General features: G+C 59.1%; 1 protein-coding gene across 3 annotated transcripts in view; it reads right to left on the bottom strand.

Annotated features, from left to right (window-relative positions):
* The window catches only part of ADAMTS2 (ADAM metallopeptidase with thrombospondin type 1 motif 2), a 234,609-nt gene that overhangs the window by 10,075 nt on the left and 207,119 nt on the right, over window positions 1-17,415 (bottom strand). For all 3 annotated transcript variants that reach the window (NM_014244.5, XM_047417895.1, XM_047417896.1), the window contains 10 exons: window positions 16,842-17,017; window positions 14,982-15,115; window positions 11,850-11,973; window positions 11,303-11,383; window positions 9,005-9,171; window positions 7,032-7,191; window positions 5,071-5,203; window positions 4,046-4,253; window positions 1,717-1,846; window positions 734-823 (listed from right to left, as the gene is read on the bottom strand). In NM_014244.5, coding sequence (NP_055059.2) covers window positions 734-823; window positions 1,717-1,846; window positions 4,046-4,253; window positions 5,071-5,203; window positions 7,032-7,191; window positions 9,005-9,171; window positions 11,303-11,383; window positions 11,850-11,973; window positions 14,982-15,115; window positions 16,842-17,017 — 1,403 coding nt within the window. The remainder of the gene's footprint in view (window positions 1-733; window positions 824-1,716; window positions 1,847-4,045; window positions 4,254-5,070; window positions 5,204-7,031; window positions 7,192-9,004; window positions 9,172-11,302; window positions 11,384-11,849; window positions 11,974-14,981; window positions 15,116-16,841; window positions 17,018-17,415) is intronic.

Genomic DNA, 17,415 nt, shown 5'->3' on the forward strand with positions numbered 1-17,415 from the left:
CATAGTTTTTCTAAGCAAAAAAGCAATAAAAATTGAGGTAATTCTGTAGTGGTTCACACGCGTGGGCGAGGCACGCGCGCACCAGACGGCCACTCTCTCTCTCAGCCCTGCGGCGGGGGAGCTGTGCGCGAGGCGAGAAAAGGCCACCGGGGCCGACGGGCGGACAGTGGAGGTGGGGAGTGTCCCCGCGCCCCTCCGCCGCCTCCGCGACCGGACCCCCGCAGGACAGGGCCGCGCGGGGCTGTGAGCTGCGCGAAGGCCGGGCGGAAGCGGGCCATAGTTCCACGAGTCAGAAGGACACGCTCAGCAAAGGGTCGGCGGCAGCAGCGACGGCGGTGGCAGCCGGGAAGCACCTGGCAGTGCCGGAAACTCGGGGTGGGGTCCCCGCACGACGCCGCGAGACCGCGAACCCCCCCGGGCCGGGACGGGCTCGGCCCGGAGGGTCGCCCTTTGGCCACCGGCCCCTCCTGCAACCACGACAGATCTTTGCCCCTTTACAAGCCATCACCAACCAGGTTCGGCCCCAGCAGAGGCCCGAGCCCCCGCCAGCAGGCAGCGCGGCCCGGAGCGGACGCCGAGCTCAGAGGCCCGGGAGAAAACGGTCACCCCAGAGCGCGCCCGCAGAGTCAGGGGAGCTTTCCATAGACAGAGAGGAGGGGGGCCCAAGGCAAGCTCCACAGGGCGCAGGGCATGCACTGGAGGGCAGAGGCAGAGTTATAAACGGGTCGGTTACTTGACGAGATCTTCCGGATGGGCGAGTCGGGGTCCGGGCGGGACAGCCACTGAACTACGTAGCTCTTCTTGGAGGGATCTGAGATGTTTCCTAGAGGGAGGAGAGAGGGGCTGCGGCCGCAGGGCACCAGGCTGGGGCCCCCACCCCAGGCAGAGAGGCTCCGGGTCTCCCGGGGTCCTGGGGAAGCGTCATTCAAGGCCCTCGCCTCCCCGGGCGGACAAAGGGTCCTCCGCTGCCAAGTCCACGCCCACCTCCTGCCCCTCCTGACAGCAGCCGGGGTCTCAGCTGGGTCTCAGCTATCCCGTCCCTCTCGCTGCCCTGGCATGCAGGCCCTGCCGCCTCCTTTTCTGGGCCGGCTCCTCTGCCCCTGCACCCTGCCCGCGCCCCGGGTTCCACCTGCTGACTCGAGCTCTGAGCTCCCAGAAAGCTTGGACAGAGAGTGCCAGGGGAATGAGAGATCCTGGATACACCCTCCCCAGCTGGGGGCAGGTGCCTAGACCCCCCAGAGCTCCCTCCTCTATAGAAGGGAACTGTGGCAGGCACGGTCCAGTCTTGAACTGTGTGGAGACCTTAGAGGTGACACATGTATAGCGTTTGGACAGGCATCTGTGCGTGGTAGGTATTCTGGTTCTCCTCAAAGGTCACAGAGCACACTCTCTACTCGCACAGGCGTCCCCCTATTCACACAGGCACCCCCTACACCATAGCCACCAGCATTCCCTAGCTGGCCGAGTCCTGCTGTCACCGTGAGTCTGCAGTGCCCTGAAAGCAGGGAGGGGCGAGTCAGCTCCACACAGCTCCCTCCATTTCCTGCCAGGCAAAGGTCCCAGACCTGGCCTGCAGTGCCCCGCTTCTCCATGCTCACAGATGTTGAGTCCAGCTACTCTCCGGGAAGAGCCAGATTTGCCTGAACCAAGCCTCTGACACCCCCGCCCTGGGCTGCTGCATGCTGGGAGCAGGGGCAGGGGCTGCAGGTGGCTTACGGGGACAGGGGCCAAGCCTGCAGGTCCTCGCTGTCTCAGGACGCTCCTCCTGGCAGATGCCGAAGCTGTCGTCCGCGGTGCGGCAGAGCACTGGCCGCTCCTGGGTGCCGTTGCCACAGGTTACTGAGCACTGCAGGGGGAGAGTCGCCAGGCAGGGTTCACCTCCCACACAGGGCCCGCACTGGCAGAGCTGGAGGAGCCCACAGTCCCCAGGCACATGACCCATGCGCTCAGGAGGAGGTGTGGGACAGTGGGGAGAGTGGGGTTTCAGGTTGCCTTGCCCCACCCTCGGGGGCAGCCCCAATCTCCTGGGGCTCTAAAGAAGGGACCCACATGCCTGTCTCTCTGAGCTGCTGTGAGACAGTGCCCATATACAGACTGGCATAGGCCTGGCGCTGCTGGACTCTCAGTGACAGCCTCACTTCTCTGGCTGGAGGAGGTCCAAGGCCCAGGAGAACCTGCTGTGCCCTGGGCAGGGGTTGAGGTGGGGCACTGGGAAAGCTCTGACCCAGCCTAGGAGGCGCCAGTAGGCTCCCCACAATCCTGGGCATGAGGGTCCACCACTAGTGCCCTCACTGGCTCCTCCAGCCCCCAGCACCACCACTGCTCCACCACACTGACCAGGGAGGTGCCAGAAGGAGCAGTCACGCCCAGCCTTGCCCAAGGAAAATTCTCCAGGCCTCACCAGGTGCACAGGAAAAGGCTGACTCAGCAGACCTGGATTGCTCAAAGCCTGCACATTCCCAACAAAGGTCTGTGTTTTTGTTTTGTTTTGTTTTGTTTCTTTTGTTGTTGGTTTCGAGACAGGATCTCGCTGTGTGGCCCAGGCTGGAGTACAGTGGCACGATATCAGCACACTGCAACCTCCACCTCCCAGGCTCAAGCAATCCTCCCACCTTAGCCTCCCGAGGAGCAGGGAGTACAGGCACACGCCACCACATCTGGCTAATTTTTTTTAATTTTTTTGTAAAGACGGTGTTTTGCCATGCCGCCCAGGCTGGTCTCTAACACCTGAGTTCAGGCGATCCACCCGCCTGGGCCTCCCAAAGTGCTGGGATCACTGGCGTAAGCCACTGTGCCCGGCCAACGCCTGTTTTCAAGACTGGCCCTTGTGCAGCTCCTGGGAACCAAGCTCATGGAAGGCTCCACCTATTAAGAGTGTTTTTGCCTGCCTGAGGCCTTGAGTCACCAGTACCAGTTGGTCTGGGTAGTTCATACCAACAGTGATGGATGGGGAACACCTGCTTTTCCTCTACAGTCTGAGGTCACACCTATGTAGCTGACCCCATTGAAAACCCTGGACGCCCAGGCTCTGGTGGGCTCCCCTGCTTGGCAGCATTTCACATGCATTGCCACACATGGGTGCAGGGAGAATTCAGGGCATTTCCGTGACCCCACTGGGAGGGGACACCGGGAGCCTGCGCCTGGATTCCTCCCAACCTCCTTGCCTGTGACTTTTCTTTTTCCCGATTCTACTCTGTATCCTTTCACCGTAAGCCCCTGCAACTGCAAGTCCCGCTTCTGAGTCTGTGAGTCCTTCTAGTGGATTACTGAGCCTGAGGGTGGTCTTGGGGAGCCCCTGACACACGCTCCTCCAGCTCTGCCAGCGTGGGCCCTGCATGTGACCGGGCTGTCAGAGCTCACGTCAGCTCTGTCCTGGCCTCAGCTGGCTCTCAGGCCCTGCCCCTAGGACCACCCCTGAAGCCCTTCAGTCCATCCTCATTCTTCCTCCCAGCACAAGCCTAAGCACGCCCTGCTCTTCTCCCCTCCTGCGAGTTTGTCCCCTCCCACCTCTGCATGAGACCCAGGCGTCCCCTAGGATCCTGGAGCCCCGAACATCCTACTGGGCCTCGGAGCCCGGGCTACCCTCAGTTTCCTGGGATTCCAGACCCCGTATCATGCAGAAGCCTCTGCCTGTGCAGTGAAGACACACATTCCACTGGTTTCTTAGTACAGCACTGACCACGTGGCAGCCACTGGCGCCGTGAAACCCACAGGATGTGGCTCAGGACAGGAGCTACATCCAGGCCCACGGGCCGAAAGGGGAATGCTCTGGTCACCTCAGTCCCACCCAAGCTCAGTTTGGGAGCTGAGGACACGGGATCAGGGGATTGCTTACCTGGGACCAGGGCCCGGCTCGCCAATGATCAGGGCAGAGCTCGCTGCTGCAGGCCCGGCGGCTCTCAGGCCGGGCGTCATTGCAGTGCTTGGCATGCACGGAGCGGGTGGTGGTGTTGTGTAGCGGCTGAATGCAGCGCACGGAGCGCACCTGCATGCCTGTCCACCCTCAGTTTTGGAGCTGAGGACACGGGATCGGGGGATTGCGTACCTGGGACCAGGGCCCGGCTCGCCAACGACCAGGGCAGAGCTCGCGGCTGCAGGCCCGGCGGCTCTCGGGCCGGGCGTCATTGCAGTGCTTGGCGTGCACGGAGCGGGTGGTGTTGTCGTGTAGCGGCTGAATGCAGCGCACGGAGCGCACCTGCATGCCTGTCCGCCCACAGGTCTGGCTACATGGCTCCCATTCGCCTGTGACCCACCTGCCAGGGCAGAGCGGGGCACAGTCAGGCTTCCGCAGCACCTGGAGAACCTGCCTGGCTGAGCTCCAGCGCCGCTCCCTGCAGCCCAGGTAGACAGCGAGCACAGAGGGCAGCCTGCACCCCTCCCCGGTGCACCTTCTCTTATTCTCACTAAGATGCTGGCTGTCCAGGCTTGCACAGAGGGGAAACTGAGGCTCAGCTGCCCCAGGTCCTACTGACCATGAGTCCCATGCATGTCACCACTGGGAGGCCCTGGTGGAGCTGGTGGCTCTGGAGGTCCCTAGCCTGAAGAGGTTTCCCAGCCTCCTTAGGGTCTGGGCCCTGCTACCTGGCCTCACCTTCTGCTGACGTCACAAATCCTTCTCGGCAGAGCTCAAGAGCAGTGTGGATTCCCTCAGCACGCTGTCCTATGTGGCCCCCACCTGCCCATTTCCCAACTGTCTTCCCCACTGAGGTCCCTGGACCCAGAAACGCAGCTGGGCCCAGCCCCAGGGCCTGAACGTCAAAGCCACTGCTTAAGAAACATCTACCCCGTGGTACAGGGCCAGGAGGCGAGCCCTGCGCCTCTGAACCCCCATTTCCCCATCTGGGCATCCCTGTTTCTTGTCATCTCTAAGATGCTGTTCAGTTTGGCGGGTTTGAAGCTGGGGTGCGCCTTCTGCCCTGCAGCATCTTAGATTCCATGAAATGTGGTGAGAGAGACTTGGTCAAATGCCTCGGATGATGCCAGGCCCAGGCCCCACACCTCCAAGCACGGGAGCCCCTGGTGGCCCCTGGCCTGTCTCCTCTAGTGGGAGCCCGAGCTGGGGGCACTCACACTGGCTGGGAGCATTCCTGTGGGTTGCACGCTCTGCGGATGGCTTTGGGCTTCGAGAGGGCGGCACAGAAGCCACGGTGTACCATCTTGTGGTCCAGCCTCCGGCGGCAGCCATACTTGGTGAACTGGGACCCTGAAGGCAGAGAGCTCGACGGGGGTCGGTGGGGCAGCATGCCCTGCCCGAGGGTGCAAGGAGGGGTGGGCTGCACCAGCAGTGCTGGCCTCGTTTTCCTGCTCACCCTTGTGATGACAATAAGGGTGGGCAGGGCACCGAGCCTGCGGCTGGCTGGGGGGAGGCCTTGGTGTGTCCCGGGTGGAGGGGCGAGAGGGCAGGAGAGGCCATTTTCTCCCCTAGGCTGCCTCTCCCTCACTGGGCTCCTGGGTCAGAGTGGAGGCCCTATTTCCTTGCTACTGCTAGGCACCGCTTCTACCTTGACCTCACATGCCCAGCAGGCCTGGTGCAAGCCAGGAGCCGGGCAAGCACTGGGCCCGCAGCCCGCATGCTTCCTCCCACAGGCCCAGAGCAGCCGTGCTCAACCCGGGTGATTTTCTCCAGCAGGGGACATTTGGCCACGTCTGGGACATGTTTGGTTGTCACAACTGGGGGAAGGGGTGCTACTGGCATCTGGTGAGCAAAGGCCAAGGATGCTGCTTGACACCCCACCGTGCACAGGACAGCCCCCATGGCGGCGAGTGACAGAGCCCAAAATGTCAGTGATGCCCAGGCTTCGAAACCCTGGCCTGCTGGGTAAGACCAAAGAAAGCATGGAGATAAAGCCTGACCTCCTCTGGGTGCCTGGAGGCATCCCAGGAAGCAGAGGCTGGGGAGGCTGACGTGGTGGCAGGGCGGTGGAGGGGCTCAGGCGAGGAGAAGCCTGCGCAGAGGCCCCAAGGTGGGACATGGTGTGTATCCAGGAAAAGCCCTTAAGGCCGGCGTGGCCAGGACCTGGGGGCGAGGCACAGGGTGGAGATATACTGGGAGAGGCCAACAAGTTGCCCCAACCCTGGAGGCCATGAGGAGAATTTTGTTTTTTATCCTAAGAGCAGAGGAAGCTGTTGAAGACTATGACACCAGGAAGAGAGAGACATTGTCTGATGTGTTCCCTCAAACGGTTACTTTGGGGTGAGAGTGGACACACAAGGGCCAGTCCAGAGGAAGGTGGGTGCCAGGACCGGGGAATGGCCAGGAAGATGGGAAGAGCACACAGGCCCAGGAGATTTCAGGAATCACCAGGGGTGGATGCGCTGATGAAATCCAGGCCCGGTGTGGGGCCGGGGGTGCCCAGGGGCCCTGGAAGAGGACCCTTCCATCTGCCTGGGCCAGGGAGTGACCCCACCTCTTGGTGAGCTCCTTGTCCTCCAGGTGTGGGCCCAGCATGGCATCGAGGGAGGACTGTCCTGGTCACTTGCCTGGTATCGCCCAGCCCCCAGGAGCACGCAGAACAGATCAGCGCTTCCTGTCTGCCTCTGGGTCCTATGTCCCATCAACTGCAGACTCTCTGGGGTCCAGAGTGGGTAGGACCCCTCTGTGCTCAGCCCTGTCCCAGAAACATCTGGGAGGCTTTTCCCAGTGAACGGAGAGAGAAGCCTCTGGAGGTGTCATCTGCACTGCCAGAGTCTTGCCTATGCGATCCTGCCAATGCCACGGCATGATCCTTCTGAGGTGTCCACACATCAACCTCTTGCTAGGCCAGCCTGTCACCCCCACACTGAAGCAGGCCCACAAATACAGGGTCCATGCCCCACACACCCTTTGGCCACATTTGACCCAATGCCCCAGCACCCCCCTTCCTGCCCACCCACCGGCCCCTCCATTGCCGCTAAGCCCTTGCCCACCCAGGCAAAGGTCCCTGCTGTGGCTCCTCGGCCCCTGCTCACGCTGGCCCCACCCCAGGGATGCTCCCTACCTTCTCGTGGTCACCCTCATGTCACCCAGGTCCCCAGCTTCGAGACCCCCTCACCTCCGCCACAGGGCTTGGAGCACGGAGACCACTTCTTCAGGGCCCACTCGTAGACCACAGAGTCCTCTTCCAGGACGTTGTTGTCGTCGACATTCAGTGAGTCCTCATGGATCATGTATTTGTACGTCAGTGAGACCCGGGTGTCTCCCACCGGGATGACCTGTGCCAGCCCAAGAGCCTTGATGTGCCTGACCTGCCCTCCATGCTTCCTCCCCAGCCAGCTTAGGAACGGCAGCTGAGGCCGACTCCAGAGGAGTCTCATCATTCATGGCAGTTACATTCCATGAAGTCGCCCCGAGCACCAAATTCTTGAATAGGGAGCCATTACCCCAGGGGGCACAGGGTGAGGTTCCTGTGAGCCTCTGTCTCAACATTTTTGTTACCCGATCAATATATAACCTTGTTTTATGTGTGAGTCTGTTTATTTTTTTGTTTGTTTTTGTTTGTTTTTGAGATGGAGTTTCGCTCTTGTAGCCCAGGCTGGAGTGTAGTGGCACGATCTCGGCTCACTGCAACCTCCGCCTCCCAGGTTCAAGCGATTCTCCTGCCTCAGCCTCCTGAGTAGCTGGGATTACAGGCGCCCGCCACCACGCCTGGCTAATTTTTGTATTTTTAGTAGAGACAGGGCTTCCCCATGTTGGCCAGGCTGGTCTTGAACTCCTGACCTCAAGTGATCCACCCGCCTCGGCCTCCCAAAGTACTGGGATTACAGGCATGAGCCACTGCGCCTGGCCTATGTGTGAGTCTGTTTAAAGACACTTTATTTAATTTTTACTGTGATTCATTAACACTGAACTCACAGTCAATCGCACTGCAGCCCATGCCTGAACGAAGCTTATTCAACACATGTATTTTCTTCTTAAGACACCACTGCTTCCTGGGCTTAGGAACACTGGACAGCACTTCAGCAACAGGCTCAGGGTGATTTTCAACAGCGAAATCGCCCCCAAAATAGCACAAAATGTGATGTATGTGACACTCAACAGACTGCAGAAAGAACCCCTGTTTGTGGGATGAGAGCAGAAACAAGCAGACAGCGTGCTGAGTTGCTCCCACCTCCGCTGGGAACACGTGTGGCAGGCGACTCACACTTCACCACTCTGTGCGTGTCCGTTTGGGGCTCACGAATCAATTTTAGTGAGCAGGTGAATTTGCAAATACAGAAACCGTGAGTGCCGAGGACCAGCTGCTCACACACTGATGCAGGCAGGTCACCAAAGGCACGTCCAGGGGGCCAGAAGTCACTGCAGGCGAGGCAGGCAGGGTGCCAGGGGGTACACGGGGCATACCTGGCTCACTGCTGCACCTGCTTACAGGTGCACCCACGTGTGGAGCGCTGGGGGCTGGTGGATTAATCCCAATGCCAGCATGCCCACCTTAGGGAGGGGCTCCAGAGCATGGGAGCCTTATTTGTGATATGTACCTTTTTTGACAAATAAAATATATCCCTATGCAGTTAAATTACATTTTAAAAAGTGATCTGACCTCCTCAAAACCAGGTAAAAAGAAAGTGATTTGAAAATCCAGCCCCCGTGGTACTTTCCTACAACCAGGAGATCTGGGGTCCCATCCTGCTTAGAGACACAGTCCAGCTCAACCTGGGTCTGGGCATCTAGCTTCCCAGACCCTGAGCGTCACCTCCCAGAGTGTCACCGATTCCAATGTAACAGCACACTCGAACGAGCATGCTGATGGCAGCTGTGAATGTCATTCAGATGGTGAAACCGAAACCCTCAAAGGGAGAGTGTGCCCAAGGTCACCTAGGGGTCATGTGGGGTCCAGAGCCCCGGCTCGTGGATGCATGTCCCTTCCTGGCTCTGACCAAGTCGGAGCCCCTTGGTGCCAAAGGCAGGCCAAAGGGGCCACGCAGAGTGTCACCTGAAGGGTCAGGAGGCTCAGCGTCCCAGGCACCCCCATCCCTCCCCCAGTGGCCACCCGCACCCTTCCCTGGGCCCAGCCCTGCTTGGACTCACCAGAACGGTGATGGTGCCGTGGAGGGGGCCCATGGTCTGCAGCGTCTCCCGGCCGTCCTCGTCTCTGTACTCCCACTCCACGCCCATGGCAATGAAGGTTTTGGAACTGGCATCCACGTCATTCTCTTCATTTAAGATGAACTTGCCTGTCTCCAGGTTCTTGACGGCTGAGAATGGCAAGACCAAGTCCCCCGTTGTGGTCACCCAAGAGCAGGACCCAGGCCCACTGGTTTGGGCTGGTCGGGGAGTGGGGGCAGCTAGCTGGACCCCTTGTCTCTCTGGCTGCCCCCGGCCAGTTTCCTCTGTGCCACGACAGCCCAGATGGCTCTGGGAGCCCTGCTTGCCCATCACTGCTCCCTCGGGACCAGATTACCCTCCACTCGCATCCTCTGCCCCCACCAGCCCTGGAGGTGCCGGCTCCCCTTGGAAGCCACTCAGTAGCCGTCAAGGCCACCTACCCATACCCTATTGGGAGCACTCAGTGGGCGCTTAGAGGCCACCCGGGGCAGGATGGCTGGGAGGGGTCTGTACGCGGTGCAGGGCATCTGCTGGACAGGCGAGCACATGACCCTGCTGGAGTAGGGCTTCCTGCCATGGGGTGAGTATATGTCTGGCTGAAACAGCAGAACCCCCACCCCATCAGGGACCATGGCCCAGCCGAGGCCCCAGCAGCTCCCCACAGCCCCAGAAGAGGCCTGGCCTGATTGGGTGACACTCAGGTCATCTAGGAGCAGAGGACCTGGCTAGCCAGGAAGCCCCATGCTCTCTGCAGTGTGGGGGGTGGCTGCTGCGGGGCAGCTGGGTGATGTGAGTGGGGCCGCAGACAGGGCACTAGTGAGAAAATCATTCCCTGTCACGTCCCCTGTAATTCTGTCCACTCACAAACAAAGCCTCTGCTTGGTGCCACACGTCCCTGCCTTCTCTCTGGCCCTTGCTCCCTTTCCACAGAGAGCGACCTCAGCCCCAGAGGCGGTGGCAGGAAGCAGCGTTGGGACAGAAATGTCTTTTTGTTCAGAAACTGACTTTTCTGTTCACCTGCTTCAGGCAAGTGGTACAGGTTTTTATATTTAGGGTAGCAGTCGAAAGTTTCCTCTTAAGAGGCGAGGTGCAGTGGCTCACAGCTGTAATCCCAGCATTTTGGGAGGCCGAGGCAGGCGGATCACGAGGTCAGGAAATGGAGACCATCCTGGCTAACACGGTGAAACCCCGTCTCTAGTAAAAAATACAAAAAATTAGCTGGGCATGGTGGCACACGCCTGTAATCCCAGCTACTTGGGAGGCTGAGGCAGGAGAATCACTTGAACCCAGAAGGCGGAGGTTGCAGTGAGCCAAGATCAGGCCACTGCACTCCAGCCTGGGCGACAGAGCGAGACTCAAAAAAAAAAAAAAAAAAAAAAAAAGTAAGAAAGAAAAATGAGTATCAAGAGAGTGAGATCCTGTCTCTAAATAAAAACAAAATAAAATAAAACAAAAGGGAGATAAAATAAAAGGGCATGGTATGTTTGTCAGGCAGCGTGGGTGCTGGTCCACGGCAGCGTGGGAGCCCCAATCCTGTCCAGCCTCCTGGGGATGGGGATGAATGTGGGGCTCAGATTGGGGAAGGGACTTATCCAGGGGCCCCAGCAGTCCCTGGTATCACTTCTGACCTTGGCCCATGAATTCCCAGAAGGTAGGGCCCAGGCACCTTCAGAGGGAGGGTGGACAGGTCCTGAGAGCCTCCCGCGTGGCCTGGGAGGGCGTGGTCTCCCAGGCAGCGCTGCTTCGTGGAAAGGGGCACCGAGAGGTGTGAGAACATCCATATTTTCAGGAGATACCAGGATCCCTATTTTAGCTGGAATCTCTTGAATTTAAAATTAAACGAATTGAAAATGTAAGTGCACTGTGTGCACCCACCTGACAGCTGGCCTTGCTGAGGGGATGGGAGGGCTGCCCAGGACCCTGCTGCCTGCAGACCCTGCCTGCCTTCCCGAGGGCAGGGGGCCTTCCCGCCCCGACTGTGAGAACAGGGGACAGGGAGTCATCCTGTAGACTGAGGGACACATGTTTTGCATATATGTCCTTTCATAGCTGCTGCCAAGCGGAGCCCTCTGATCCCAAACCCTGGCCTCTCCACAAGGGGAGGACCCTGGGAAAGGGCCCAGGTGGGCTGAGCAGAGGGACAGGTTGGGGAGGGGCTGCCCTGGCTCAGGTCATGGCTGCACAACCCGGGCCCCTGACCCCTGACCCCTGGCACTCTGCCCATTGATCCCAGAGGAGCCAGGTCCTGAGGACGTCAAGTTGTCCGGCTCTGAGACTCACCCAGATGGTGGCTGGTGGCGTCTACCTCCTGAATGAGCAGGTGTCTGGCTCCTGCAGGGATCTCAAACATCTTGATGTAACCTTTTTTTGATGTGGAAAGACACAGAAAACTGAGAAGGGAAGGCGCCGCTCAAATTCGCACCATGCAAGGAGGGGCCTCGCTCTTGAAGGCAGCTCCTCCGGAGGCTCTCCCAGGACCCTGGTATTTCTCTGGCTTTGAGGACCCACCTGAGAGGGGCCACCAGGAAAGCTGCTGCCTCCAGGCTAGTCTTTAAGGCCCAACCCGGGCATCCTCATATACTGGCATTCTCCACTCTAACCCCTGTGACCCCGGCCCCCACTCTCCTCTTCCCCACCCACCCTGGCACCCAGCTGGGGCTGTCCCCGACTTAGGATTCTCCCTCCCCCTCAGTGTCACAGACCTCTCCCCCTCCCCAGAACAGTCATAAGCCCGGACAGCCCCAGGATGAGTCAGGCCCTCAGCTGTCCGGGCATGAGCCTGCTGCAGGCATCCAGGCTCCAGGGTGGAGAGCAGGGACCCACTCACCATGCTTCTTGGGTGACCGTGTGAACGTGCCCTTGACCACTTTGCAGTGGCTGTTGTCCCCTCCGCACACGCCACACTTGTCTTCCTGCTTGCTGGAGCCGATCACACCGTCACAGCCCACCTTCTGTTGGGGGAGGAGGCAGTGAGCACTTGAGACGTCCTGCTAGTAGAGTCAGGGTCATACTATGTTGCCCCCAGTCTCGAACACCTGGCCTCAAGCGATCCTCCTGCCTTGGCCTCCCAAAGCATTGGGATTACAGGCGTGAACCACCTTGCCTGGCCTCATCTTTTATTATCTCCAAAATCAGAGTGCGTCTAGTCATCAGTTAAACGGACCTTGCCTGCCACCTACAGCAGTGTCTCGACCTGGCAGTTTCCGTCTGGGCCCCTGTGCACGCGGCTGGTCTTGGGCAGGGGACTCATCGAGGCCCAGGCAGGCACCGTCCCTGGCTTGATGAACATTTATGTTTGGCAAGCAGGAGATGCTGTTTATTTTTACATTTTTTTTTGAGACGGAATCTTGCTCTGTCGCCCAGGCTGGAGTACAATGGTGCAATCTCAGCTCACTGCAACCTCTGCCTCCTGGGTTCAAGCAATTCTTCTGCCTCAGCCTCCCGAGTAGCTGGGATTACAGGTGCCCACCACCATGCCTGGCTAATTTTTTTTGTATTTTTAGTACAACGGGGTTTCACCATGTTGGCCAGACTGGTCTTGAACTCCTGACCTCAGGTGATCCACCTGCCTTGGCCTCCCAAAGTGCTGGGATTACAGTCCTGAGCCACCGCGCCCGGCCAAGTTTTGATATTCTTTAACAGACAGAATCCAGTTGGATATTATTTTTTGACCCAGTATTAGGTTCTGCATGAATATTTATGTTTTCTAATTATGCAAAATTGAGCAACCTGCTATTACCTGTCAAAATCAACATTAATAAAATATTTAACCTATTCTTTTTTTTTTTTTGAGACAGTCTCGCTCTGTCGCCTAAGCTGGAGTCAGTGGCGCGATCTTGGCTCACTGCAGCCTCCGCCTCCCAGGTTCAAGTGAGTCTCCTGCCTCAGCCTCCCGAGTCGCTGCCTGTAGTCCCAGCTAATTTTTTTTTTTTTTGTATTTTTAGTAGAGACGGGGTTTCACCATGTTGGTCAGGCTAGTCTTGAACCCCAGACCTCAAATAATCTGCCCGCCTCGGCCTCCCAAAGTGCTGGGATTACAGGCGTGAGCCACCACGCCCAGCCCCTATCCTTCTTTAATACCCATGTCAGGAGTGACGTGATAGCCACACCCACGGAGACAGTGCATTAGTGATCTTCCCTCCCCGTTAGGTTTACAACCATGATCACAGCTGCCATCTGAAGCTACTTGTACTACAACTGTTTCCCATGCTTGCTGCCTGTATTAATTATGTTTTTGTTTTTCAAAACGTCCTATGTCTTGATATTTTGACATCTTAAAAATCTTCCTGTCTGGGGAGAGACTACACCTCCCAGGGGTATCCAGTTCTAAGGGACAGCAAAGCACTGGGTTGGGGACACACCTTTCACATGCAAGCCAGCCAGTCTTCAGTCTATACCCCAAGCACCTCCTTTATCCAGGACTCACATACCAAACCAAGATTCTTGCACCCTAACTCATCCCAGGGTTGGGTACCAGGCTACTGGGGACCACCCTAAACTCCAGAGCCCACTGGAATGATTCAAACTGGCCATTCCTGAGCTGTCCCCCTTCCACTGCCCTGCCTTCCTCAGGAGCCCTCTCAGTGACATTGGCCTCCCCACGTCCTCACTGGGTCACCTCCATAAATTAAAATCCCAAGGGTACAGAGCAGACACCACCTGTTCTTGTTTTGGCGTATTTGGTGTCGCCATCTCTGAGCCAGCTGTATAGCCCAGCCTCCCGGCCCTGCCGAAGTCACAGGAGCAAATGCAGAGCAGCCCTCGAGCACCCTCCCGGCTCCAGCTCCAGCTCCAGCTCCCGGCTCCAGCTCCAGCTCCCGGCTCCATCCCCCAGCTCCCGGCTCCAGCCCCCAGCTCCCGGCTCCAGCCCCCAGCTCCCGGCTCCAGCCCCCAGCTCCCGGCTCCAGCTCCCAGCTCCCGGGTCCAGCTCCCGGCTCCAGACCCCAGCTCCCGGCTCCAGCCCCCAGCTCCCGGCTCCAGCCCCCAGCTCCCGACTCCAGCTCCAGCTCCCGGCTCCAGCCCCCAGCTCCGGGCCTCTAGCCCCCAGCTCCCGGCTCCAGTCCCCAGCTCCCGGCTCCAGCTCCAGCCCCCAGCTCCCGGCTCCAGCTCCCAGCTCCCGGGTCCAGCTCCCGGCTCCAGCCCCCAGCTCCCGGCTCCAGCCCCCAGCTCCCGGCTCCAGCTCCCAGCTCCCGGCTCCAGCCCCCAGCTCCCGACTCCAGCTCCAGCTCCCGGCTCCAGCCCCCAGCCGCTGTCCCTGCGCCCACTCCCCTAGAGGTGCCTTCCTGCCGATGCGGCTGTTTCTCAGGAAGGTCAAGCCAGAGTCAGCCTCCACGACTCCTGCCATCAGTCCTGTCTACACAAGCCCTAAGCAGAGACTTCCGGTTGTTTTCGGGGGAGCCTGGCAGGGACAAGTCTATGTTCATGTCACCGTCACATGGCGAGGTGACACGAGATTGTTTTTCCTGACAGCCAAAGATTGAAGCCAAAGGCATCATAATAAAAGAAAACAGAGGAGGGCATTTCTACAAAGCACCAAACCAGTGACCCTCACAGTGGCCACCCAGATCCAGCAAGAAGCTGCCCAGTGCCCTGCAGGGTGCAAGGATGGGGCCTGCTTCACAAGGGTCCCCTGTAGGTCACGTGCATTGGAAATCACCTGGGATGCTCCTAAAAATTCATGCTCCCAGGCCGCCACCACCGTGACCTGTGGAATCAGGACGTCTGAGGTGGAGTCCAAACTCTCCAGGTGAGTCCTAGGCATACTCAAGTCTCAGGCTCCCAGCACAGGGGAGGGGTAAACAGACATTTGCCAAGAGCCTGCCCTGGTCCGGGCATTGTTTCTGACACTTCGTATGCTTCACCTCATGCATCTTGCCAATACCCCGAAAAGGGGGAGGTCAGTACCCAGGAAGCTGAGACTTGACACGGTAGCCCCCCGTGCCGGCCTCTGTGTACTCACCCTGCAGTCCCCGCGCACACAGAGGCTGAAGGCGTCCTTGTAGGAGCAGCGCGTCCCGTCATGCACCATGCGCTTCATGGACACCACCTCCCCGGTCTCCCTGGACTCGCAGTACAGGTGGCATCTCTCCTTGGCTGGAAGGGAAGCAGCTGGGGGTCTGCAAGGAGCCCTGATGGCTTCCCCATGTGTGTGCAAAGGAGGCACCAAGCAGGAGAAATTTCCACAAGGGTCCCCACGTGGCCCACCCTCCAGGGCAGACAGAGAGGGAAAGGGGTGGGTGACAGCAGCCCCCTTCCTGTCTCTGTGTCTCCTAAGCCTTTGACCCTGGTGGTTGTGGACTTTGGAAGAGCTTTTCCCAACCAAGCCAGCCAGGCTGTTGGTGCAGCCCGGCTCTCACATCCCCGAGGCCCCGCTTGGAGACCTCCGAGGCTGCAAATGTCTGTTTGCTGGGTTGCTATCTAAAGAACCCTTTTCAGGCCAGGCAAGATGGCTCACACCTGTAATCCCAGCGCTTTGGGAGGCAGAGGCAGGTGGATCACTTGAGGTCAGGAGTTCCAGACCAGCCTGGCCAACATGGTGAAACCCGTCTCTACTAAAAATACAAAAATTAGCTGGGTGTGGTGGTGAGCGCCTGTAATCCCAGATACTTGGGAGGCTGAGGCAGGAGAATCGCTTGAACCCAGGAGGCCGAGCTTGCAGTGAGCCAAGACTGCGCCACTGCACACTGCACTCCAGCCTGGGTGACGGAGCAAGACTCCATCTCAAAAAAAAAAAAAAAAAGGCCAGGAGCAGTGGCTCATGCCTGTAATCCCAGCACTTTGGGAGGCCGAGGCAGGCGGATCATGACGTCAGGAGATGGAGACCATCCTGGCTAACATGGTGAAACCCTGTCTCTACAAAAAATGCAAAAATTTAGCCGGGTGTGGTGGCGTGCGCCTGAAGTCCCAGCTACTCAGGAGGCTGAGGCAGGAGAATAGCTTGAACCTGGGAGGCAGAGGTTGCAGTGAGCAGAGATCACGCCACTGCACTCCAGCCTGGGCAACAGAGTGAGACTCCGTCTCAAAAAAAAAAAAAGTAAATAATCCTTTTCAGTCAATCTCTGAAATCCAGAATGAGGCCAGCCTGCCTCGATTCAGACTCAGGTCCCTGGAACCTTCCCTTCTCAGCCTTTATCTGAGGCAACTAAAACGCTGGGCCCCCAGACTGTGGCCTCCGCCAGAGGGGGACCCCATCTGCTGTGTCACCTCCAACCCTGCACTGGCCCACATGAGGCAGCAGCTGCTGGGCTAGGGCAACAGCCATGGAGGAGAAACAAGGACTGTGTTTACAGTCCGTCCCAGGAGGGTCCCCAGCTGCCACACAAGCACTGCCATGCCCAAGGCCACCAGACTCCTCAGGTCCCTGAGCCAATAAATGCCTTCTAGTGCTGAAACCGGTTGGAGTCAACTTTCTGACACTCGCAACTGAGAGTCCCGACTAATAGAGAAGGTCAGAGGTCACCAGATTCCTTGGCAGGGTCAGCCCTGGCCTCAGCCCTGAGCTGACCACACAGCTCAAGCCTCGTCCACCCACGGTGAACTGCAGGAGCCCGGCCCCTGCCGAGCCCGCAGCCCGGCCACCTCTTCCATGTCCTCAGCTACTCTGGGGTGTTCTGGTGCTCTGGGATTGCAGCCCTGCTAGGAACTTTAATGCCCCACCCAGGAGTGGGCCAGGGCAGCCACACCAGCCAGGGTGGGCTCTCCTGCCAGCCCAGGGTCGCGGCAGCCTTGCCCCATGCAGGATCAGAGGCACAAGCCCCCACCCTGCCCACCCTAGGGCCTGCCTGCTGAGCCCCCACTGATGCCTCCCAGAAGGGCTCACCATCCCGGTGCTCGTGGGGCAGCCAGTGGTGCTGGGCGTCGCCGTGCTCGAAGTACAGGTCCCACTGGCGGCACTGCTCCTCGCGGAAGTCAGCCAGGGAGTCGGGGCAGTCCTGGCGGCTGCAGAGCTGGAAGTCGTAGGCAAGGCCCGAGCAGGTGCGGCCCCCGTTGGCCGGGCTGGAGGAGAAAGCAAAGGCCTTGCCGCTCCGTGCCATTGGAAAGAGGCAGCACCCGGGTGCCCTTGTGAGATCTTTTTAGGGGGGATCCCTAAGTCTCAGGTGTCCGGGGGGCAGCTCTGCTGAGCAAAGGGACCTTGCCCTGCCATGTCCTAGCTGTAAGACCTGGGCAGTTGTCCAGCCTGTCAGGCCTCAGAGTGAAGCTCTTGAAAGGACAGGACAGGATGGCCACATCCTCCCTCCTGGGGTTCCTGTGGGGAGGCAGCATCTGCTCACAGCCCTGGTGCCACCTCCTCCCCAGCACTGATGCCTGGGCTTGGAGATGAACAGGAAGCTGTGATTGGGTGTTTAGGTTCTGTGTTCCCCACAGGGCGAAAACCCCAGCACGGCAGGAGCTGA

This window comes from Homo sapiens, chromosome 5, assembly GCF_000001405.40.
Source record: "Homo sapiens chromosome 5, GRCh38.p14 Primary Assembly".
Lineage (NCBI taxonomy): Eukaryota > Metazoa > Chordata > Mammalia > Primates > Hominidae > Homo > Homo sapiens.